The following is a 26,695-nucleotide window of genomic DNA, read 5'->3' as shown; positions in this document are numbered from 1 at the left end:
ACATTATACAATGCAAATGAACCTTGGAAACATAATGAGTGAAAGCAACCAGACACAAAAGGCCACATACTACATGATTCCATTTACATGAAATGTCCAGACTAGGCAAATCCATAGAGACAGAAAGCAGACTGGCGGTTGCCAAGGGCTGGAGGGAGGGAAGGAATGGGGAGTGACTGCTAGTGGGCACAGGGTTTCTTTTTGGGGTGATGAAAATATTCTGAAATTACATAGTAGTGACAATCAGAGTCTCTGAATACACTAAAACCACGGAATTGTACACTTAAAGGTGGTGAATTCTATGGTACGTGAATTATATCTCATTTTCAAAAGGTATTCTTCAGTTTAGCACTTCTACTGCCTCTTAAGTCCCTCAGTGCTCAAGACCAAAGGGCCTGCTTCCCAGGGCACCCAGGTGCTATCCCTTTAATCTTGCCCTATTTATGACGTCAAGAGGAAGCGATCTTTGAGAAAGATTAAGGGCTCACACTATTTTTGTTTCATCACATAGTAGCAGGGAAAGGAAAAACATAAAATCAGAACTTCAGTGTAATCTTTGGTCAATCAAGTTAAGGCAATCCATGATGTGCCTACTGCAATAAAAGTAAGCTGTTCAATCATCCTGGGGCAGTGTACACCATAGTTTTATTGTTTTTTATTGTAGAGACGGGGTTTCGCCATGTTCCCCGGGCTGGTCTTGAACTGCCAGGCTCAAGCAATCTGCCCTCCTCAGCCTCCAAAAGTGCTGGGATTTTTTTTTTTTTTTTTTGAGCTACTTCTTTGTCTACCAGATGATGAACTGTATATAGTATTTAAATAGTTCTGAATCTTTGGCTGGTACATTTTGAAGAAGATAAACCATTAATTCTTATCAAGATTCATTCATCTTACAATACAGGAACTGTGTTAAGATACAAAATAACAGATGGTGCTAGAGAACCAGTGGTAGATCATTCAAAATAACTAGTTCTGATTTTTAAAAAATCAGGAGCTCGCCTGTAGTCCCAGCTACTTGGAAGGCTGAGGGAGAGGACTGTTTGAGCCTTAGAGTTTGTTTCCAGTGTGGGCAACACCACAGGACCTTGTCTCTTAAAAAACAACAACAACAACAAAACAACAACAAAACTCTGATGCCTTTCTGTTTCCTCCATTAACTATTAAATACATCCCTATGTGCAGTGCTGGAATCTTCAGTTTGGCACACAAAATAGAACACTCATCCACAAGTCTGTAAGAACAAGGAATACTGATTCTCTTAATCTGCCACTATTGACTCTAGATTGTTATCTTAAACTCACTTGGGGTTACCAAATAGTCCACACCTGCCTTTACTGTGGAACGACTATTTGGTCAAAGAAAAATGCTCAGGAATTCAATGAAGCCACAAATTATCAACATGAGTTATCTGTTCATAAACAATGACTTAGGAAGAATTTATAACGTTGTGGGGCATAGTCATCATGTCACCTTGTCACACCATGCACAGCAAATCCAGGAACAGCAGGCACGAAAACACCAGGTAGATGAGTATTCGAGTATAGGTTTGAATAGCATCCCTACAACTAGAGTTTGGGGTGTGTGTGTGTACGTACAGTTTTAGGGAGAGGAGAGGCAACAAGGGTGTTCTACCACTGAGCTCTTTCACTTTTATAGAATGATGCTTTAAAAGGAATCGAAGGACACTATGATAAGGATGACTTGAGTGGATGTAACCTGTGAGCCTCACATAACAAACCTGGAATACTGGCTCTTGGGTTCTAGCTCAAGCATCACACTTACGAAAAAGAAATGTCTAGACTCAGACAGAAATAAAAACAAATCTATAAAGAATATCATGTAGTCTATTCAAAATTATGCATGGCAAGAGAAACATTAAATCTCCAGATATTACATCAGATATATATTATACCCAAAATTAAATTCCTTGTAAACAAATCCATTTACATTGAACTCATCATTATATATTTGAGTATATATTTGTAAATTGAACCCGTCATTATGTATTTGAGGTATGTATTTGTAAATTGAAGCTGTCATTATGTATTTGTGACACCTAGATTAACACATGACACCATGTATAAGAACACAGTGCCATCTACGTCTATGCCTCCTTAGATGGTGCTTTATTCGAATCAGAAAATTAAACAGCATGAGTCATCTTAATGTTAACCCTAGTTCAAAAGCAAATGTCACAAGTTTAAAAACCTCGACTAATTCAAACACCCAATTTCAACCAATATTTTACTTTTCCATCAGGGTTTTACCAAAATTATTAATGAAAAGCAAAATGAACATATAAGAGTTTTCTTTCTTTCCCCTATATTATCATTTGGGAACATTAAAAAGAAGGGTAGAGAAACAGAAGCCTAGAAAATTTACAAACTAGATAATACTATATAATCATACTAAATGTGTATATACTATTAAAAATACACAAAAATACACACCCCCTAAAATATCTCAGGTATAACAAGGGACACTGTGCTCCCCTATAAAAGATACTCCTATGGTATTTTCAAATGTGTTTTCTCAAAATAATTAATCTAGAACCTCTTATTCCCAAACCCAAGCCTCTGTACTGTCCAAGACAAACAAAAACCAACACAATGTTCTACTCTGTAATTTGAAACACATCTTCTCCTTCTGATGTCCTTCCAGTGCTTTTCTAAGGTAGTCATCTGAGCAGCTAAGCAGGTACTCCCGACATCTGAAGAGCTTTCAGTCTATTATAGCCTCATTACAGCTGACTCTTGAAAAACATAGGTTTGAACTGCATGAGTCCACTTACACAGGATTTTGTTCTGCCTCTGCCACCTGAGACAGTAAGACAAACCCCTCCTCATTCTCTTCCTCCTCAGCATACTTCCATGTGAAGAGATGAGGATGAAGACCTTTATGATGATCTACTTCCACTTACTGCATAGTAAATATATTTTCTCTTTCTGGTTTTCATAATATTTTCTTTTCTCCAGCTTACTTTATTGTAAGAATACAGTATATAACACATATAACACACAAGATACGTGCTAATCAACTGTTTATGTTATTAGTAAGGCTTTGGTCAACAGTAAGGTATTTAGTAGTTAAGTATTTGGAGAGTCAATTTTTTTTTTTTTTTTAGAAGGAGTCTCACTCTGTCACCCAGGCTGGAGTGCAGTGGTGTGATCTCAGCTCACTGCAACCTCCACCTCCCAGGTTCAAGTGATTCTCATACCTCAGCCTCCTGAGTAGCTGGGACTACAGGCATGTGCCACCACACCCAGCTGATTTTTGTATTTTTAGTAGAGATGCGGTTTCACCATGTTGGCCGCGCTGGTCTTGAACTCCTGACCTCAAGTGATCCGCCCACCTCAGCCTCCCAAAGTGCTGGGATTACAGCACTTTTGAGCCACTGTGCTTGGCCCAAGTCAAATGTTATATGTGATTTTTGACTGGGGGTGGGGGCGGTGGGGAGCGTGGGTGCCCCAAATTGTTCGAGTCAACTGTATTTGAAAAACCTAATACTTTAAAAAAATTCATTCTAATTACACTGCTAAGGAGACGCTGGATAAATTTAGCTGTCACTAAATAGTAAGATTTATAGACTTGTTTTATTTCTGCTTCCCTGACAACTACTTTTTTTTTTTTTTAACCTAACTAGGCAGGGGATGATAATCAGTAGCTGTTGCTGTGCTATAATTGAAGACCAAATACCTTAGTTGCTTCAAGAACTCCACATCAGAGTTGCTGTTAATGAGCTTGATGAAGTCCTCGTAAGAGGGGGCATAGGTGTAGGCTCTCTTGTGATGCTCATTCATTTGCTCTCTGTACGCCAGCTGGGCAAGCAGCATTTGGTTAATGTAATCTGGATTACTCAGTAACTCCACTACCGGCTTCAAGACTACAGGAAGAAGAAGAAATAGCCACTGAGAAAGGTATTCTTCTTTAAGGGAACTGTTTATGTATCACATAACTGAGACTACATTTGGGAAACATTTTTCAAGTAGTCAAACAGGGGAATATCTATATAATACAATAAACAATTCAAAAATGTACACACATGCACACATACAGCTGCCTATCCCTCCAAATATGTTATCATCCATGGCTATAATCAAGTTGTCATTTTAATAAATAAGTGAAATGTAAAAGAATCATGAAGGGAAGTCATTTGGAACTCAAGTTGCTAACAAATCTATCAAAATTAAGGCCGGGCGTGGTGGCTCACACCTGTAATCCCAGCACTTTGGGAGGCTGAGACAGGTGGATCACTTGAGGTCAGGAGTTTGAGACCAGCCTGGCTAACATGGTGAAACCCCAATCTCTACCAAAAACACAAAAATTAGCCATGCATGGTGGCACATGTCTGTAATCCTAGCTACTCGGGAGACTGAGGCAGGAGAATTGCTTGAACCCGGGAGGCAGAGGTTGCAGTGAGCCGAGATCTCGCCACTGCACTCCAGCCTTGGCGACAGAGTGAGACTCCATCTCAAAAAACAAAAAACCACAAAATTACAACAACCAAAAAAACACTGATTTTTTTCTTTTACTTATTTTATAAGGCTCAATACGTTTTGACAAGCTTAGTCTGCCAAAGGATGAAAGTCAACATTCTCCCCAACTGGTTAAAACAGACCTCAGAGAGGAAGTTAAAAAGTCAATGACACTATTACAAAGCCATCCTTGTAACTTGAGATTAGAAACTTCCTCTCTTCTCTGTGGTTGGTTATAATAGCTGATGGGCACAGCTGGCTTATCCTGAGATAGTAAATGAGATAATCACTGCATCTCAAATGCAATGCTATTTGTCTGAGACTGAGATAGGGAAAGTTTCTCTTATCCTGACTAAGCATTTCCCTGGATATAGTTAACTTTTTTCTAGTAATCACATTATATTGTGGTACAGTTCCTTTTTACATATTCCAAGTTCACAAAATTATGTACAGTCATGCGCCACATAATGACATTTTGGTCAACAACAGACTGACTATATGACAGTGGCCCCCATAAGATTATAATGAAGCTGAAAATTTTCTACCATTTAATGAGGTCAAGCTAGTGTAAAGAAACCTATTGCACTGTCAATAGTATAAAAATACAGCACATACAATTATGTACAGTGCATACTTGATAATGATGATAAATGTTATTACAAAAGAGTCAAAAAGTTTAAAAAAATTAAAAGTTCATAAAGTAAAAAAAGTTATAGTAAGCTAAGGTTAATTTATTGAAGAAAATAAAATTTTAAATAAATGTAGTGTAGCCTAAGCGTACACTGTTTATGAAGTCTGCAGTGGTGCACAGTCATGTCCTAGGCCTTCACAGTCACTCCCCACTCACTCAGAGCAACATCCAGTCCTGCAAGCTCCATTCATGGTAAGTGTCCTATATAGGTGTACTGTTGTTTATCTTTTATACCATATTTTTACTGTACCTTTTCTATACTTAGATACACAAATATCATTGTGTTACTATTGCCTACAGTATTCAGTACAGTAATATGGTATAAGGTTTATAGTCTAGGAGCAATAGGTTACACCATATTGCCCACATGTGTAGTGGGCTATCCCATGTAGGTGTGTAAGTACACTCTATGATATTTGCACAATGACATTGTCTAATGACACATTTCTTCGGACACATCCCTGTTGTTAAGCAATGCATTACTGTATACGCATTATCAACAAATCATATAGCAAAGATATTTTAAGTAAATATGCTAATCAGAATTTGACTGTGGTCAGGGATGGTTGCTCACACCTGTAATCTCAGCACTTTGGGAGGCCTAAGTGGGAGGATCACTTGAACCCAGGAGTTCAAGACTTGCCTGGGCAACATAGTAAGACCCCCATCTCTATTTAAAGAAAAAAAAAAGAATTTGAACACACACACACACGTAATATATAAACATACATACTATGGATATTATATAGATATTATACACACATACACATACTTTCATTAATGTATATATTATTGGCCTAGATAACTCAAAAGCTATCCCAAATGAATGCTTCCCTGTGAAGAGCATAAAAACTTGTTTTCTATGTCAAAACATGCAACTTAATGGACTGTGCATTTGGCGATATGTCATATTAAAAATTTAAGTTTATCCTGAATGGCCAAATAGTTTTAGAGACATATAAACAAGATTTTGAAAATACTTCAAATCCCATATGTTCAACAGTAAACAAGGTCTGCATGTAGCACATTAGTTTGCACACTTATTGAATTAGTGAAATCAACTGTATAAGTCTACCTTTTGTTGTGAGAATTTCTGCAAGCATTATACGTAAGCTGAGAGACTGCACATCCTTTGAGGGGAGGAGACAAAACACCAGAACCCGAGAACACGTTTGTAGAAATCTTACTTCATCATCTGAGTTCCTCAAGCATGCGTGCAACACAAAAGGTCTTGGCTGTTCTTCATGTCTAAATAAAGAGAGTGAAAAAGAAGGAAAGAAGTTTCTAGAAACAATTCAATTATGTACTATTAGGTAAAAAATATTTCAAATGAGAAACACATTGGTTATAGTAACTGCCATCTCCTAAATAATCAAATTTCCTCAACCATCAACTCATCTGGAAAACTTTTGCTAGAATAAATGCAAATGCATGGCCTTTTTTGGATTTCAAATGAAATCATAACAACGAACTTCAGTAGCATCAAAGGGTCTATATAACTCCAAAATCACAGCAACAATCTAAAAAGGTACGAGTATTTATTTAGTAATTTTTAAGTCTTCTAGATGTTTTCTTAAATATGACCTGCAGCTTCATTTTTCAAAAAAACCTAACAAAGCATAAACCAGGGTTGCCAGCCTGCTTTCTGACTGGGAGATAATAGGATAAAAAGTCTACAGGTATTTCTAGTGAGCTAGAGGGTCTATAAACTCGACGTTATCTAATTTGATGGCAAATTGCCTTCTGTGAGGCTCCAAAGTATTTTTCAACCAGTCTTGACAACCTTGGTTGTGCACTTCCCTGTACTGACTCCATCCCAGGAACATTAATTTGGAGGATCTGAGTGAAGAGGACTGGAAAACAGAACTTTCTATACTTCCCTTCCCATAGTATCTTGATAGTGATTCAAGAAAGCCTGGGATGCTGCGTTTTCTAATATGTTCTAGATGAGGAGGCAAAGTATAAGAGATTTTTACAGTAACTAGTAGCTAACAATGAGAAAAAACATGAAGCAGAGGGAGAGAAACATACTAGGTACTGCACAGGAAATGAAACTAGTGCATATTAGTACCTTTAGGACCCATGCCTCTCAGGTGTTAACTGAAATTTATTTTGCACTGGAGACTGAAACTAGTTTCTAGAGTGTATAACGCTAGAAAAGAAAGGTTTCCTCTGTCTTGTACAACCTGAAGGAATTCTATCCTAATGTGTAAAGCCAGCAACATGAAAGGAAATTTTTAGAATAAGCCTTTATGCATATACTGATACGCTGACTTTTTAAAAATGGCATCTTCAATTATTTTAAACTCTAGCTTTGCTGCCAGCTAGGTTGATATTTCAATATAGTAAGATTAAGATGCTACTCCTTTATCATGTCAAGCACTTTTAAAGGTAATTCTTTTTTTAAATATATATTTAGCTAATAAGCACTGGAGGAAGTTGGAAAAAAAAACCACTTTTACAAGAGAAGCTTATTTAAACAATATCAAAATCTCTCTCAAACGGTACACAGTCCCTTCTCCGTTAACAGTGGAAGGCAGATAATAAAGGAGCCTGGTACTCAGACTGCCACAAGTTCCTCTCCCTCCTACAGCTAAGTTAGGGAAAATACTTCTGACTGAGCCAAAGGCCAGAGGGCTGGCCAAAGCAGCTTGATCTATGGAAGAAGGAATGGCAGATCTCTCCCTGGAATCCTTCCACTAACTCCAAGCAGGATATTCCTATGATGTCCTCTAGAAAGTGGACATCAAGTATTGCTTTAAAGCCAAGAAAGCACCACGAGGGGTGGGGCTGCTTCTGTGGCAGGAGGCATCTACTAGCCTTCTGGTGGGTTGTAGCATCAGTCTTTGCAGCATCCTTACTGTGTTCCGTGTGGATCAATCATTTGTTTGCTGTGATTCCTACTACGTACCTCTGGGTTCTCATTCCTTGAGTGAGCAAAAGGACATTAATCTTTTATTTAAAAAGTTTCAAATGTACAATGACTTAATCCTCCCACCTACACCAAAAAGTAGACATCATCACGTGTATTCTATAGATGAGAAAATTAAGATCTGAATGATTATGTGAACTGTCAAAGTCACAGAGGTAATAAAAGGTAGAAGTAACTCTCTCAAGTCCTGTTCTGTTTCAATCTCAAGTCCCAACTCTTTAAATTACACCACAATCAGAAATTACAAAGATGAAAAAGAACATTTCAGAGACAAAGAAGGAAAACACACGAATAAAAACATTCTTTTTTTCCCTCAAACTGTATGCCAGTACTCGACCAGCAAAGAAAACTATGAAATTAAAGATGCTATTGAAATAATAGTATAAAAGCAATCATTTTTAGATTTTCCCAAAACATGCTGGAGCGAGACAGATGGGACAAAGGAAGAGGAAGCAGAGGCAAGAATTAAATGTGATCTGGATTGGCTTAAAGCAGCAATAGAATGATGGCCTAGAAATAAACACAGGCTGACCGGAAAGCTGCCTCCACAAACAATTGCCCAACAGTCAACTAAAGGACGTGTTGTTTTATTAAGGCAATTTATTATTCTTTGTCTGATAGTGGCCAATTCAACTGGGTGCTACCCAGGCTACCAAAGTCATTCTGCAGCCACTAGAGATCTGCACACTACTGGAGATTTCTAGGACAAAGCACTGTTTACCTGGGGCAGGCAGATACAGATATTTGCCATTAAACCTGGACTCACTGTCTGCCGGTCTCATTGTATGGTTTGTATAAGATGCTACACAGACAATATTAGACAATATTAGTTCTCCAGGACACAATCATCTATATGAAAAATGCCAGTGACCTACTGGTACTTTTTCAAATATCCATAATCCAGGAGAAATGTGGCAGGATTTTTTTTCTTTATTTTGTTCTTTATTTTTTATCATCAACTACAGGTTCTAGGCATAGCCCAGATGCCAGTAAAATAAATCTACCCTTGGCATAAGAAAATTAGAAGCCCAAAGAGAAGGAGCTTCTAATATTAAATCACTTTCTGTTTCTATTATTCTGATGCTTTATCCATATCTTTATATTATCCACAAAAGCAGTAATTTCAAAAGCTAGTAAATGTCTGGATGAAAAATATATTCTCATGTTGAAATTAGATAATCATAAAACCACTGAATTTTTCTAACCACTTGCTCTTCTCCCAAATCTAAACCCATCAGTTTTCTAACTGGAATAAACATTGATTTAAAATACTGTCCTCAAGCCGGGCACAGTGGCTCACTGTAATCCCAGCACCTTGGCAGGCTGAGGCAGGTGGATCACTTGAGGTCAGGAGTTCGAGACCAGCCTGGCCAACATGGTGAAACCCCATCTCTACTAAAAATACAAAATGTAGCTGGGTGTGGTGGCACATGCCTATAATCCCAGCTACTCAGGGGGCTAAGGCACAAGAATTCTTGAACCAGAGAAGCGGAGGTTGCAGTGAGCCAAGATCGCACCACTGCACTCCAGCCTGGGTAAAGAGTGAGGCTGTCTGAAAAAATAAAAATAAAAATAAAAAATTATATATACATACATACACACACACACACACACACACACACACACACACACACACACAGAGACAGACAGACAGACAGACAGAATACTGTCCTCTTACTGGACCATCATTTACATACTTTCAAATGAGCTTTCCCTGAATTCAAACAAGTCTTTCACAGTATTTGTCAGGTGGAACTATGGAACACTTGAAATAACGGATAGCACAGCAAATTAGCAGGTGCTTGCAGAGGTTGGTGAACACTTCGAAAGGAGAGGCTGAAGTTTTTGAGATTCTAGGAGGTAACTCAGGAGCCCTATTTCTCTCATTTTCCTTATTAATTCACACCCCTCCCTGCTTACTGGAAGTTACTTTCTCTATAGGCAGCAGTTTTCAAAGGGTGGTCCAGAGACTCCTGGGTGTCCCCAAGATCCTTGTAGGGCATCTGGGATGTTAAAACTATAGTAAAATAAAAAGGTCATTTGTCTCATTCTTCCAAGCATAGTAGTTTCCTCAAGCTACATGATGTGAAATGGCATCATCACTCCCGTGGCTAAGGAAAAGTGTCCTGTGTACTCTTGCACTTTTAAAAATTCTTAGTTTTTAAATATCAAATATGGTAAATACCAATAGATACGATGAGTAGTGAACTGGCAAATGTTGGCTCTCCTGAGGAAAAAAAAGCTCTGATTTCGATCATTTGCCCATTCCATGGTGTAAACACTCTCACCATGGCCCATTTCAAGCTCCAATCTGGTATAACTGAACTAATGGTTGGGAAGACCTGTGCACAGTTCACTCCTGCATGCCAGTACAAGCCAGCTCCAGCTCGCCACTAGATAGAACCCATAGAAATGAGCTCTTTGAAATTCTCAGAAACTTTTAAGAATGTAGAGAAATCCTGGGAACAAAAAGTCGGAGAACCACTGCTTTACCATAATGTTTTCAAACCATTGTTTTACTTTCTTTTAAGTAAGAAAATAAAACCAATGTTTTACTTTCTTTTAAGTAAGAAAATAAAATTGAGTTGGTCTTAAACATTATTTTTAAAAAAACGTTAAAAAAAGTGTCAAAGTTATCAGAGGTAACAAAAGTACTGTTTCATGAAACTGGGTCATAATATCAAGTGAATTTCTCACAGCGGGCCATAGTTTTTAAAAAAGTTCGCAAAACACTGGGGCAGCAAGCTGGAAAACCGTGGGCATGTCACGGCTCTGTGGATTTTGGCCTCGTAAACCTGAGGGAGGGAAGAAGAGTCCCAGGAAGGGGCAATACAGCTGGGAATGGAGACCTGCTGTGCAGCCGCATTCAGCAGCAAGGTCCCCTACACGAACAGCATCACAGGGCAGAAGGGGGACACCATCTAAATACTTTATCTCTTCCCTGAGAGTGAGAATAGGCCACATTAACTGTTCCCATTCCTGTTCCAACCGTGTCCATATCCACACAGGCAGAAGGCTACTCATTGCAGTTAGACAGCTTTTTATGTAAATTGTTATGTACATAACAATACGAAGGGCTAACAAGCCTAAATATTAGCTACTTTCATAATGAAATTTCTCTAGTCAAAGCCCACAAGCTCCAATATGTACAACTGTCACGTATGTAACAATACAAAGGCCTAACAAGCCTAAATACTAGCTACTTTCATAATGAAATTTCTCTAGTTAAAGCCCAGAAGCTCCAATATTGAGTACCTTTGAAAATCAGTTTTCAGGATATTGTGATGCAACAGAGCTCAACATAGGACTCACAAAAAGAAACATGAACCATATTTAAACGTGTCTAAATACTGTAAACTCATTCACACTGTTCATATTAGAAAACACTACATTTAAATTTTTTATTTCTAGTACTCATAATACTATAAGATCATCACAGTGCTGGTTCAGTAAAATTCATTTTACTGTTTATTTATAGAATTAATTGTATTTATAAAGTGGTTTTCCAGCATAAAGTAAAAAAAAAAAATACTCTACCAGAACATAATTATTCCCCCTTAATAAATCTACATTTTCAAGCAAGTGCCAGCAATAGGCAGAATATTCTAGAGTTTTATCTTGACTTTGACCTTTTACTCAATTAAAAAAAATTAATGCAAAAAAGGGGGTAAGTTGCTTAGAACAGTTACCTGGCATTGGCAGCTTTCAGGTCACAGAAATGAGTGAGTAAAGTCCTCACAACATCATTGCAGACAACTTTAACCACATCCACGTGACTCAGTCTGTGGTGCAGCTGTCTGGCAATTTCCCAAAAGTCTTCCAAGAGCAGATGGTAAAGTTGTCCCTCATCTCTGCTGAGGTTTCCATACCAGGACAGAATGTAATCTCTATAACTGTAGTCGAACACTACCAGGAATAAACAAAGCAATGAGTAAAACAAATGAAAGAAGCAAACACCAAGACTGCATTTCTACTGGAAACTGGCCACCTACTATTTAATATTCACTGTTTAAAATTAAAGAGAGGAGAAAACAGAACTCATGAGAATTCCTAAGTCTTTTAAAACGAAAGATTCTCATCTAACTAGAACGTTTAGGTATGGTGACCATGTCCTAAATTTTCCTACAGAGCCCTATTTTAAAATATTCTATCTTGGTGCCAAACTACCTAAATTTATTAAAAAATCAGAGCATCTTATGTAGTGGCAATACACTTATGAAGTGTACCTGATATCAGTCTATTGCCTCTTTGCTCCGAGTTCAGCTTTTTTGCCCTGCTTTATGATACTGGAGCTGGGCCCTGCAAACACCGTCAGTTTCTTTGCCCGCTGGCATAACATTAAGTCTGTCAGTAGCACATGCTGGAGGGCAACTGGAGGAGGAAGGGGCTGCTCTCCCCAGTTCCCGTGTGTTCTTCTCTGACTGTTCCTGCCACATTTAGCAGCAGGCATGGCACCCGATGGTGTTCACCCCAACAGCAAGTTCCAATGCCATCCACAGGGCAGCTTCCCACAGAATTCTGCTGGCATCCTATGGGTGGCTCTCCCTCACCGGTGGTATCTGCTCAAGCTTCTTCACCATCAACTGGGCCAAGGTTGTGCCTTCTCCAAGGCCTGGATCTCAACCCAAGGGTAAAGAAGGAAACTTCTGCCAAATTTTTTCTGTCCTAAGGTCCTCTGCCTCAGTCCTAGTGGGAATGGCTGCTCCCTATATCTGCCCTTCCTTATTCTTTAGTGTTCTCTTTACTCCTTAGTACTTAATCCCATATTGTACATTAATAATTATTTATATTTAACTTTCTCTGTTCAATTACAGTGTGGTTTCTGTCTCCTAACAAGACCTCAACTAACCTAGGAAGAATCCCATAAATCAGTCTTAGATATCACACTAGGCTCAGCCCCTGTGGCCAGTCGCCTTCTTTGGAAGATTTCTAGTGCCTATGTTCTTAATTCTGCACCTTGGAATTAGGAAAGCCTAGCCATAGACCAGTGCTATCTAATTTGAATATGAGAGCCACATATGTAAGTTTTAAGTTTTCTAGAAGACACATTAAAAAAGTAAAAAGATACCACAACAAAAAGCTCATAAAAAATAAGATAAACAATAAAAATAAAAAAGTAAAAAGAAACAGGTAAAATTCACTTTAATAATATATCCATTTAACAAAATTATGTAAAACATTATTTCAAAATGTAATCAATATTTAAAACTCACGTTTTTGAAATAAAATACTTTGCTTTTTTTCGTACTAAGCTCTGTAATCTGGTTTATATTTTATTCTTTCAGTAATCTCAATTTGGACTAGCCACATTTGGGGTGCTCTATAGCCGCTGTCTAGTGGTTACCGTGTTGGACAGCACAGTTTCTAAAGCCTATTTAGAAAGAAGGTGAAGCCAGTGTGATGTTTGCAAGAAGCTAGGTCTTTTGAAAAATAAAATATTAGTGGGCTTGGTGGTGACTCCCCACAGGGCCCCAAGGGAGAAAAACATTTAGCTACACACTCCTGCTCCAACTCGAGGGTACCAAGGTTATTTTTTATCACTTCTTGTTTCTCAGAGGTTTTTTTTTTTTTTTTTTTCACTTTTCAAACACTGTTTGATTTGGCTTAATTGCAGATGTCATTTCAGATAAATAATTTATCCTCCTGCTTTTCTTTGCTTGTCTGCACACTACTTTATCCCTGGGAATCCTACGTGAACCAGATCTACTTCACAATTCCCTACGAACAACTAACCTATACGTGTCAAATAATTTTTTAGCCTAGAATTTGGGGTTCATTTTATACATCTTGGCCACTACACACCAAATTAGAAGCTTCAGGATAATAAATTGGCTGGGCACAGTGGCTCATTCCTGTAATCCCAGAACTTTGGGAGGCCGAGGTGGGAGGAACACTTGAGCCCAGGAGCTTGAGACCAGCCTGGGCAGCATGGCAAAACCCCATCTCTACAAAAAATACAAAAATTAGCCGGGTGTGGTGGTGGACGCCTATATTCCCAGCTACTTGGGGCTGAGGTGGGAGGATCATTTGAGCCTGGGAGGTGGAGGTTGCAGTGAGTCAAGACAGCGCCACTGCATTCCAGCCTGGGTGAGCAAGCAAAACCCTGACTCAAAAAAAAAAAAAAAAAAAGAAATTTAGGTGAGCTCTCTGGGGGGAGGGATTGGAGGGTGGGGAGAGGGAGAGTCATTTTTCTTAGAAAACTGAATGGCAATGGAATCACATATTTGCAAGTGCCCACAGGTCAAAGGAAGCACAATTTTGGTATTAATATTCTATGATGGCTTTTTTCATGGTTGAAATATCAACCATGGAAGTATATTCAATGTTTTTTCACATTTCCAGTATTTTTGCAATTCAGCTTTATAGCAATTTATAAAACAGCATTTTAAATTTCATAACTCAAAAACATGCAACAGCATTAGGATTTTTGTTCACAAACAATGACACAAAGGTTTAGATAAATTTTCAGAGTGATTCCAGCAGCCTCAGTTGTAGGGATAAGATAACTGTGCCTTCCAGCTGAGAACAATTAATTGCCAAAGACAGAAAAAAGATCTATCTCAATCTTTTACTACTCAGCAAATAAAATGTATAGAGGGCTTCTAGTCTGTAAGGTGGAATCAATATCCGTATCACTAAGCACTGGACACAAAAAGGAAGGTAAAACAAAAGCAAAACCAGAAAACAAGGCACATGAAACTCTCAGTCACGTTCTGCTCATTTTCAGATATTAATTTGAACCTATGGTTGTTATGTTTTCTAGATTTTGCAAAAAGTAGCTACATCTCATCCCTAATGGTACTATTCCATTAAGGAAAAACAGCGGAAATGGTTTCTGACCCAGATGAAACTGCAAAAACAGGAATGGGTTGATCCTATAATCTCATTTATTGGCAACAAACAAATAGACCACAGTTCCTACATAGTAAGTGAGTTTCGTCCCTTCAGGAAATTGAGGCTCAAAGAAGTGAAGTAACTTGCTCAAAGAGGTAGCAAAGTCAAGACTCCTACCTGCCAATCACTCTTTCTACTCAGCACACTGTAGTCCTGCACATAGGTGAACAAGATAAGCTGCATGAGTAAAAGATAGGCAAAACCTAAAATAGCATCCTCGTCCACTAGATATCCAGTTTGTTTAAAACACATTTACATGAAAAAATATATGTAAAAGGCTGTACTTTGTAAAACTGCTGTACAAGACACAAACAGAACCAACGAGTGAGGCCAGGTGCGGTGGCTCACACTTGTAATCCCAGCAACGACACCTCTCTTCAAGCTAAGTATCAAAAAACTATACATAACTTAAATATAAAAAGTACGGGCTGGGTGTGGTGGCTTACATCTGTAATCCCAGCACTTTGGGAGGCTGAGGCAGGCAGATCACCTGAGGTCAGGAGTTCCAGACCAGCCTGGCCAACGTGGTGAAACCCTGTCTTTACTAAAAATACAAAAATTAGCCGTGCGTGGTGGCAGGCGCCTGTAATCCCAGGTACTCCAGAGGCTGAGACAGGAGAATCACTTGAACCCAGGAGGCGTAGGTTGCAGTGAGCCGAGATTGTGCCACTGCACTCCAGCCTGGGCGACAGAGCGAGACTCTGTCTCAAAAAAAAAAATAAAGAAGAAAACAAAGCCATGATTCTAAATATACATTATATAACCATATAAACTAATTTACACAAGTACACATATCAACAAAATACTTTAAAACATACCCTACGGGTCAACTTAAGGAGACAGAGAAATTCGTAACCATAAAATTATTTCATGGCTTTTATTAAGAAATAAACATTCAAGGTCAAGACGCCAACTAAAGAAAAAAAAAAGAAATATACAGAAACAATACAATTAATCACAATGAGAAATGAAAGAACACTTATCCTCACTACCAGGCAAAAAAATCTTTCTTCTAAAGGCATGATAACACCCACCACAAATTCAGGTGCTATTATCATTCAAGTATATCTAGTTTTAGAACTGCTCTCAAAGAAATGAGTAGGTAAAAAGGAGGCCACTGGAGATGAGAGAGAATGAAGTAACATGATTGGAACTTTAGTTTTAGTTAGGTTAACCTGAAAACAGGATTTAGGGTAACAAAGTAGAGAAAAACTATAGATGAGGACACAAGTTAAAAGGCTCCCGCGTTAGTCTAGACAACAGGATGTTAGGTAATCGCTACCCACAAATTTTCAGAACAAGGAATGAGCTAAGTAAACAGTATAAGAAAGAGAGCTTCAAGAGGGCCATTTTCCCACCCTTGTCTTTTCCCCTGAGCGATTTAGAAATGCGATTCAGAGATACATGTCCTGCCCATGAGGTACAGCCCCATGATCATGAAAGTCCACGCCTGGGTCTCTTAGAACAAAGAGACAGTCCTCATTCAACCAGAAACTTGTCTAATGACAATGATAAACAACAACAGCAACAATTCTATTGTTCATTTAGATGGTCTTTTATGGTTTGTAAAGTTTTAAAATGCAATGCAAAGTTATCTTCTGGAAAGATTTGGGGTTATTAGTTTATGTGATTGATAGAGCTATGTATTTATCCAACAAAAAAAAAAGTATACATATTGCATGTCACTGGGAGAAAAGCATGAACTAGAACTCGATGAGTTGAGCTTTCTAAAGGGTGGGAAAAGTCATGCGAGCCTTGCTTCCTCTGTGCCACCATCTAATTCCCAGGCAGCCAGACATCTGGAACAGCCATACGGTGGGCCTTGGAAAAAAGACTACCACATAAAGTTTGCCTTACCTAGGACCTGTTGCAAAGCTGTTAAAAGTTCTACATAAAAGTTCTGTTCTCCATAAAATTTCTGTTATACTTTGACAATGACCTTGCAGTATCTTCCGCTGTCATGATTGTTTTCAAGTTATGACCCTGTGTATGTAACAATTACTTATGGGCATATTTACCACTGAAATTCAGAAAAGCATTAAGAGCCAATTAAAACTAGCTGAAATGTGCTCACTTTGAAATGTATATGTAGGCTGGGCATGGTGGCTCACGCCTGTAATCCCAGCACTTTGGGAGGCCAAGGCCGGTGGATCACCTGAGCTCAGGAATTCAAGAAAAGCCTGGCCAACATGGTGAAACCCCATCTCTACTAAAAATACAAAAATTAGCCGGGCGTGGTAGCTCATGCCTGTAGTCTCAAGCAACTCGGGAGGCTGAGGCACGAGAATCACTTGAACCCAGGAGGCGGAGGTTACAGTGAGCTGAGATCATGCCACTGCACTCCAGCCTGGGCAACAGAGTAAGACTCGGTCTCAAAAAAAAAAAAGAAGAAAAGAAAAGAAAAAAAAGTCTGAAATGTACATGTAACATTAATTGCAAAAAATGAGGGTAACGGTATTTAATTCTAAGATATTCAGACAGTGGGTTTTTTTGTGTGCAACGTCTGGGGTTTTGTTGTTTTTCGGAGTTTTCTGTGTGGCAGACAGGGTCTTTTATAAGACACTCTGAGGTCAGCATCCCCAAGGTCTTGAAAAAGAATTATATTTTCAATTCAAGAACTTTCAATTTAACATTGAACACACCACTGAACAAATAGCATGTACTCAATAATTATACAATTAAATTATCTGGTTCACATTAGAGATGGTTTAGGGCAGGCTAGTGAAAATTAGGCAATAGATCTATTGAGATTTAATAGTAAGTCAAAAAGATTTTTAGAAGTCGTCTTTTTCCTATCTTCTGTCAGTTTTCTGGTAAATGTAGCTTTTGGAGAATCTTCTGAAGCTATCTGGTACAGAAGGGTAACTGTTCTGCCTTCTCAAAAAGAAGAGTTCATTCATATTAGATCTGAACCCCTAAAATATAGTTTTACATTTTAAACTGGCTAACAAAACAGAGCAGTCATATGCTTTGATCACTTTCCTCAAGTGTGCCATTTAACTTCCAGCATTTGTAGCTCTAGTATTTCATATTGTTCCACAGAAAGCTGGAGTATATTATTTTGCTCTGCATTTTTGACTATTACTTCTTTCTTCTTTGTAATTCAATCTGTAAAGACTTAAATCCTAACTTATACTGAGCTACAACACAAGCACAAATTTAGTGACAAAAATATCTACACACAAACATGTAGAACATGTATACATGCAGACACACACACATGCCTTATGTGGTACTTAACTCTTTAAATGTTTTTAAATTACACACTCTAAAACCAATAAAATAGATATATAAAGATAAAATGGTACCATAATGTTCTCTAGTTTAAATTAGCTTCCAAGGAGGAGATTTTTAGGTAAGTATTTCATAAGCATTTAGTATAACCGAACTCAAATTACTACAGCCTTAACAAGTATATTGTTTAATGTTTTGCAAATGTACAGAGACCCTCAATTTGATTAATATTAAATCTATTATAGCTAGTTAATAACATTCTGAATTCCAATTAAATATATTGGTGCCGGGTTTAGAAATGTAAATCAAACCACTCCAGAGATGCAAATTATAACCACTAAAGATTTTCTACATGCTGATGAAACCTCTTAGCCTTCTCAATATACATTTCTAGATTCTAATTCTCCATAAAATTAACTGGTCAAATTTTTCTTGGAAGGTGATTCTAGTTTTGTTTGTTGTTGTTATTGCTGTTGAAGAACTACTGCCAAATGCATGAATTTTACTCCCAATAACTAACTTTCTAGCAGCTACTAGCTCTCCTTTTGTTTAGCTTATATAATGCTGAACTTCAGCAGCTTTTCCCTGAAAACCACTTTAAAGCAAAGGACAGGTAAAAAAAATTGTGAACATTAAGAATGTGGTTAAAAAAAAAGAAAAAAAAAAGCAAAGTATAATAAACTGAAACGCTTACCCAAAGGCTTTGGAAAACATTTTCCTTTCAGAAGAAATCACTGAATAGAAATTAGCTTCAGGATAATGTTTTTGCCAAGTAAGCCTCAACCCTTATCCTGTCTTTTTTTTTTCCCCACAAGTACTTCTGAAACAAACTGGTCTAAAATAAAGGTCACGTCTAAGTACAGAGAAATTTCTAAGTCTTCAAAAATTAAAGAGACACTCATGTTCATAGCAGCATCAATTACAATAGCCAAAAGGTGGAAAGCAACCCGAGTGTCCACTGATGAGTGAATGGATAAACAAAATGTGGCACACACACACACACACACACACACACACACACACACACGCAATGGAATATCATTCAGCCTGAAAACGGAAGGAAATCCTGTCACATGCTACAATATGGATGAAACCTGAGGACATTAAGTAAAATAAGCCAAACACAAAAAGACAAATACTATATGATTCCACTTAGGTAAGATACTTAGTCAAATTCATAGGGACAAAAAGTAGAACAGTGGTTACCAGAGGCTGGAGGAAGAGAAAGGGGTTGTCACTTAATAAGTAAAGAGTTTCAGTTTTGCAAGATGAAAACAGTTCTAGAGATTGGTTGCATGATAATGTGGATGTACTTAACATTACTGAACTAAGGCCGGGTGCGGGGGCTCATGCCTATAATCCCAGCACTTTGAGAGGCCGAGGCAAGCGGATCACTTGAGGTCAGGAGTTAGAGACCAGCCTGGCCAACATGGTGAAACACTGTCTCTACTAAAAATACAAAAATTAGCTGGGCATGGTGGTGTGTGCCTGTAATCTCAGCTACTTGGGAGGCTGAGGCACAAGAACTGCTTGAACCCAGGAGGCAGAGGTTGCAGTGAGCCAAGATCATGCCACTGCACTCCAGCCTGGGCGACGGAGCAAGACTCCGTGTCACACACACACACACACAACAAAACATTATTGAACTATATACTTAAAATGGTTATAATGATAAATTTTATGTTATGTCTATTTTAACACAATTAAAATTTTTTTAATATTAAGGACAGAGTTCTAATTCCAGGGGTGGTAGAATAGCTTATATCAGACTAACCTTCCTATAGAAAATAATTTGGAAATCTGGAAAAAAAAATTTAAAAACTACAGATGTTCCTCAGCTTATGATGGAGTTGCATCCTAATAACACCCCCATCCCACCCCACAAAAGTAAAAAAAAAAAAAACCATAAACTGAACTATCATAAATCAGGAACCATCTGTATTGAAAAGCACTGAGAGCAACCAAACTTAGCAATTAGAAGGGAATCTATTATTGAAAGAAAGGAATGGCACTAGGTAAGATCCATGTTTACACACAGCTTTTCCCTAAAGGCAACTGCAGTCTTAGAGGTACAGGCAGTAAACTGGAAGAGAATGTCTTTTGTGTGTTTTTTATTTTAATATATCAGGAAACAGATTTAAGAGTTGCCAGGGCTGCTGAAAATAAAGGCAAGAAATAAACACCATGAAATCTGGGTACAGATTCTCAAATTCATTGCCAACTGTGAACTACACATGTATAGGGGTAAGACTACAGGAGACCAGTGGAAAGCAACAGCTGGAAGACTCAAAGAGCTGAGCAGATACTCCAACTACTGTCCACCAGGGAGACAGAGTTTGGAGCTAGAATTCCACTAACGGTGTTGGGCTTTCCATTGCAATTGTGGAAAGGCCATGAACCAGAGGAGTTAAGTCTATGTCCTCGGACTGAGGGACTCACTTTAGGTGAAGAACAAAATCCAAACACATCCATCCTCAGAAAATGTATAAAACCAAGTATCTTCAAGGTGATCAGCCATTAATTAAACTGCATACTAAAAACCTCTTCAGAGGAAGATAAAAGAATCTAGAATGTCTAAAAAGCAGCATCCACATTGTCCAGTATACAATCAAAAACAACTGGACATCAGAAGAAACCCCCAAAAAGTGACATCTAGTCAAGAGAAAAAGCCATTAACAGAAACCAACATCAAGATAGCCCGGATGTTGGAATTAGCATAAAAGAACTTTAAAGCAGCTACTACAAAATATGTTCAAGAAATTAAAAATAAAAATGTCATAATAATTGACAGACGAGAGAATCTCAGCAGAAAAGCAAACATTGCAGAAACAACAAGAAAAAAAGAACCAAATGGAAATTCTACACATGAAAAGCACAAAGTGTGCAATAAAAATTTCACTGGATGCACTTAACTACAGAATGGAGATGAGACAGAAAAAAAATTGGTGAACTTGAAAAAAATCATCATCATCCTATCTATCTAAAGAACAGAGAGGAAAAAAAGATTGGTAAATTGGACTTTATCAAACTTGAAAACATCCACTCAAAGATAGCATTAAGAAAACAAAAGGCAACTCACAAACTAGGAGAAAAATCTTCTGTATCTACATCTAACAAAAGACATGAATCCAGATATTTTAAAAACTATAAATAAATTATAAGTTTAAAAAAGACTTGCATAGACACATCACAAATAAAAATCTGAAAATTGTCAATAACACATGAAAAGGTGTTTAATATCATAGTCAGTAGGGGTATGCAATTTAAGGCCACAGTAAGATACACCCATCAGAATGGCTAAAAGAGGAACAAAACAACAGCAAATGTTGGTGGTAATATGAGACAACCGGAACTCTCATAAACTGCTGGTGAGAGTCTAAAAAGAGACAATCATTTTGGAATACCGTTTGGTAATTTATTACAAAGTTAAAAATACAACTATCCTATGGCTCAGCAATTCTACTCCTATTTATCCAAGAGAAAAACATATGTCCACTGAAATATCTGTTGATAGCAACTGTATTGACTAACTTTCCAAAACTTAGAAATAACCCAGATGTCCCACAGGAGAAAGGGTAAACATATTGTCATAGCTGTATCACTGTAATGGAATACCACCCACCCAAAAGTAACAAAGAATAAACTGATATACACAATATGGATGAATCTAAAAACATTATGCTGAGTGAAAGAGGCCAGGCATAAAAGAATACACACTGTATGGTTCCATTTCCATAAAGTTTTAGAAGAGACAAAATGAAGTGATACCATGAAGGGTGGGTGTTGATCAAAGGGGAGCATGAGGCAGATTTTCTAGAATGATGGAAATGTTCTCTATTTTGAATGAGGTGGTTATACAGTTATGCACATTTATGAAAATTACTGAATTGTATAATTAAGATTTGTACATTTCAAAGTATGTAAATTTTACCTCAATAAAAGCAATTAAGAATAAATCCTGTACATTTTTTTTGAGACAGAGTCTCATTGTGTTGCCCAGGCTGGAGTGCGGTGGTGCAATCTAGGCTCACTGCAAATCTCTGCCTCTCGGGCTCAAGCAATTCTCCCACTTCAGCCTCCCAAGGAGCTAGGACTACAGGCATGTGCCACCACTCCCAGTTAATTTTTGTATTTTTTGCAGAGACAGAGTTTCACCATGTTGCCCAGGCTGGACTCCTGGGCTCAAGCAATTCACCCACCTCGGTCTCCCAAAATGCTAGGATTACAGGCATGAGCCACCACATCCAGCCAATCCTGTACTCTAAAAATCATGATTATGAGATTATGAATAATTGCCAAATTTTAAATCCAGTAAGTTTTATAAGTCATACTTTAAAGATTATGAATAATTGCCAAATTTTAAATCCAGTAAGTTTTATAAGTTGTACCTTAACTACTAATAGAAGTATTTTTTAAAATTTAATTATGTCCCCAAAGGTCTAAAATTCTGTGAATCCACACAATTTCAAACTGTTTCTGTACTGATACAGTACTCTCATTTTCAGATTTTGATATGGTGATTTTTGTGAACTATGATGAGTAAAACACATATATGTACATATCACTTGTTCAGCTCTCTTAACTTCACGTCTAACATCATATATTCACCTGATAAACTCATGACTTGTTTTCTGAAAATTAACTGAAACTGTCAATGTTTTTAGAAATTTGATATTTAAAATCTTTCTTAAACCTTAATTTGATGTTCAAAATATATTTTTTAAAATTTTAATATTTAAAAGTACACTTATTTATTCCCACTTCCAGACATAGCCATATTTTACCTTCCACCACCCTGCTTCTGCCTTCTTCAAGACAAGCTTCATTGTAAACTCACTCCTCTGAAAGACTACTATCACTTAGTTGGGTTTAACTGGTTTATCTATGAGTGAGCCTGAGTCTATTTATCCCAACATAGCTTCTCTAGGTTATAGTTAGAAGAAAAAAAAAATTCCTAAAACCCATTTTAGAAAAGAGAGAACAGATCTGTGCTTCATATGATGGAACTAGCTCTACATGGCTGGCTAGTTTCACATGATCTGGAAATTCCTACTCAACAAACGTGTAAATCCCTTACATGCAAACAAAACATGGATGTATTTAGTCATCAAATACAAACTCATGAAGAAAAAATTCCTAACACTACATGCAGACAAGAAGAATAAATTTGCTGGAGATTATTATTTTCCTCTTAGAACATAATGAATTGCTTTACATGGTAATTATATACTCTCATTTAATCCTTACCTTCTTTCAGAGCTTTATCCATATTATGAGAAATTACTACCCTTCTAGACTGAGCTGACTCATGTGAGTTTCCATACACAGGACTCTGAAATGAAAGGAAAAAAATACAAAGCAGATTACTGAATGAATAAATCACATAAAAAAAAAAAATCAAAGGTATGAAATGCCATCTAAACAAGCATTAAGATAAGGCTTAACGAATAACAGAAGTTTTTCCACAAAAGTAAATAAATGCTTAAGGTTAAAATTTTTTGGAAAAAAAATTAAGGAAGGATTTTCCCTACCAGATATCAAAACAGTATAATGACTGTATAGGAATAAATAAATCAACACAATGGTAGGGAGTAAACAAACCGATGTAGCTATATATGTGCAAATTAAGAACATAATTTTCTTAAGAAGAATTTGAAATTAATGATAAAAACCACACACTACTCAGCAAATGATGTTGGAATAATTTGATATTCACATGGGAATAAAAGGTTACGGTCTTACATTCTGTATATAAATAACTCCAAAAAGATTAAACAGCTAAACATGTTTTAAGCTAAAAAAGAATTAAGAAGAAATAAGGGAGCAGCTTTTTATAATCTTGGAATGGAAAAGGCTTCTCTAAAATAAAACACAAAATCCAAATGGTATGAAGGGGGAAAAAATGACAAATCTGACTACCTAAAATACAAAATTCTTGTTTCACAAAAGATGATGCAATCGAAATGTAAATGATAGACTAGGAGACAGTATCTGTAACAATGTAACAAAGAACTATCATTAAATATACAGAGACTCCAAAAATAAGAAAATAACTCAAAAGAAAACCAAAGAAGTTGAAAGGGAAATCATAAAAGATAAACAAATGACCAATAAATGTATGACAAAAAAATGCAATCCCCTTTTTTATTAGAGGAATGCAAATTAGAGCAATGAGATACCATCAGACTGCCAAAGCAGCAGAAAGGACATACCTATCTAATGTTCACCAGGACACAGGGAAATGGTTGTTTTCATATATTGTTGGGGGAAATATCTATTTCTACAAGCTTTTAAGAAGGCAACTGAGCCACATATATCAAAATTTTAAAGGACTTTTTTGAGTCTCACATGTTGCCCAGGCTGGAGTGCTGTGGTGCTCACTGCAACCACTCAGCTCACTGCAACCTCCGCCTCCCAGGTTCAAGTGATTCTCCTGCCTCAGCCTCCAGAGTAGCTGGGACTTCAGGCCCACGACACCACACCCAGCTAATTTTTTATTTCTAGTAGAGATGGGTTTTTCCCATGTTGGCCAGGCTGGTCTCGAACTCCTGACCTCATGTGATCACCTGCCTCGGCCTCCCAAAGTGCTGGGATTACAGGCGTGAGCCACCGCACCCGGCCTAAAGGACTTTCTATTCTGCAATGCCACTCCTAGGACTCTGCCCAATGGAAATCCAAAAAAGTACATGTATAAGGAATTTTACTGCTATATTAATTATAGGGGCAAAAAAAATTGGAAGTAACGCAAGTTTTTATATATACGTCAATAGTCAAAGAGTTAAATAAATTATTGGTATACCATTAAAAAGAATGCTTTAGGGATACATATATACCTTCATGGAAAGTTTTCTATGATGGGAAAATGTTTGCAAGCACAGACACTTTTAAAAGTGGTTTCCTCTAGGCGGAGGTATAGAATTTTAAGTCTATGTGTGTCTGTATACCAGCAAGTGATGTTAAAAATAACTGTATAAAGATACTGCTTTGGGCTGGGTGCAGTGGCTTACGCTTATAATCCTAGCACTTTGGGAGGCCGAGGCTGGTGGATCACTTGAGGTCAGGAGTTTGAGTCCAGCCTGGCCATCACAGTGAGACCCCCGTCTCTACTAAAAATACAAAAATTAGCTGGGCGTGGTGGCGGGCACCTGTAATCCCAGCTACTCGGCAGGCTGAGGCATGAGAATAGCTTGAACCCAGGAGATGTAGGTTGCAGTGAGTTGAGATCTCGCCACTGCACTCCAGCCTGAGAGAGCAAGACTCTGTCTGGGAGAAAAAAAAAAGATACTGCTTGGCATTTTTTTTCTTAAAGGAGAGACTATAGAATGAAAACCCCACTATCTTGCTAGTGAGACTACATTAAAAAGAGGATTTTTTTTTACTTGATCACATATCACCGTAATCAAAAGCATATACAATGTAATTGGGGTCTACTTACTGGTTTGGAACGAAAAAAAGAAACAAAAAAAATTGCAGAACATTTTTTTTTCACGTGAGAAATATTACAAGTTCTTGACCAGCACTGCCACATGACTTGGAGAGCTAAAAGGCTAATGTTACGGTTGCCCTCATCCTACAAACAAGTGTGGAGAACCACTTCGTTCTCAAGCAGAGGCCAGACCAGCACAGATGCAATCAATCCCACAGCCCCAGGCCACCCAACTGGGAGTGGAGAATTTCCAGTCCTTGATTAGTCTCATGGTATCTATGATCAAGTGCCAAGGATGTCATCCCTGTTCGTGCTTACTGTTATTAAAAACAAACAAAAGTCTCCTGGTGACCTTATAAAAAAAGAGGAAAAAAGCCATAGATTCAAGATTTCTTAGTGGAATTTTTTTTTAAAACCTTAAGATGTACATGTTGCACCCAAGAAAGAAAAGATATTCCTTTATGCTCAAATTAATATATAGCATTCAACATTTTCCAAAGGAATTTTTTAAAAATCTTAATCATAATCATATATAGACAAAGACATTTAATGCATAAAAGAAAATCATGTGACCTTTTAAAACTATTTTCTAGTTTCTGGGTAGCTCTCTATGAAATTAAATAAATGGTCTAGATTTTATTGAAATTTAACATTTTTCATTTAGTTCACAGAAAAAAAAATTGAGGAAATGAGGAATTTTCAAATTCTACTGCTTTTAAAACATCAGGCAGATATTTAAACAACTTACGAATTTTGGGGGTAATATTTAATGGAGTTAAATGCTTTCAGAGGTCTACACTGCTAAATAATTTTAATCACAACTTCTCAATGCTTTGGCAAATAGTTAAATGAACAATACTGATCAAATGATAAAACCAAAGCCAAAAAACTTATTGAAGAAGTTCCTGGCCGGGTGCGGTGGCTCACGCCTATAATCCCAGCACTTCGGGAGGCAGAGGCGGGTGGATCACCTGGGGTCAGGAGTTTGAGGCCAGCCTGGCTAACATGGTGAAACCCCATCTAAAATTTAAAAAATTAGCTGGGCT

General features: G+C 37.6%; 1 protein-coding gene across 11 annotated transcripts in view, besides 1 other annotated feature; it reads right to left on the bottom strand.

The window, feature by feature from the left end:
* The window catches only part of SNX25 (sorting nexin 25), a 174,406-nt gene that overhangs the window by 107,794 nt on the left and 39,917 nt on the right, over window positions 1-26,695 (bottom strand). For 10 of the 11 annotated variants that reach the window (NM_001317781.2, NM_001423234.1, NM_001378032.2 and 7 more), the window contains exons 2-5: window positions 23,471-23,555; window positions 11,785-12,001; window positions 6,239-6,411; window positions 3,694-3,880 (exon numbers count right to left, since the gene is read on the bottom strand). In NM_001317781.2, coding sequence (NP_001304710.1) covers window positions 3,694-3,880; window positions 6,239-6,411; window positions 11,785-12,001; window positions 23,471-23,492 — 599 coding nt within the window. In that variant the 5' untranslated portion in view covers window positions 23,493-23,555. The remainder of the gene's footprint in view (window positions 1-3,693; window positions 3,881-6,238; window positions 6,412-11,784; window positions 12,002-23,470; window positions 23,556-26,695) is intronic. The other variant, NR_186775.1, reaches the window with a different exon arrangement.
* Window positions 4,470-4,971: an enhancer, noted in NCBI's record as "NANOG hESC enhancer chr4:186187032-186187533 (GRCh37/hg19 assembly coordinates)". NCBI's record gives its function as "activates a minimal SCP1, AML or CMV promoter by ChIP-STARR-seq in primed H9 embryonic stem cells {active_cell/tissue: H9 hESC(primed)}" and the evidence as "EXISTENCE:reporter gene assay evidence [ECO:0000049][PMID:30033119]".

The sequence above is a fragment of the Homo sapiens genome, chromosome 4 (assembly GCF_000001405.40).
Source record: "Homo sapiens chromosome 4, GRCh38.p14 Primary Assembly".
Classification (NCBI taxonomy): domain Eukaryota; kingdom Metazoa; phylum Chordata; class Mammalia; order Primates; family Hominidae; genus Homo; species Homo sapiens.
Note: the sequence above shows the minus strand (reverse complement) of the source record. Positions and strands in the feature narration are given on the sequence as shown.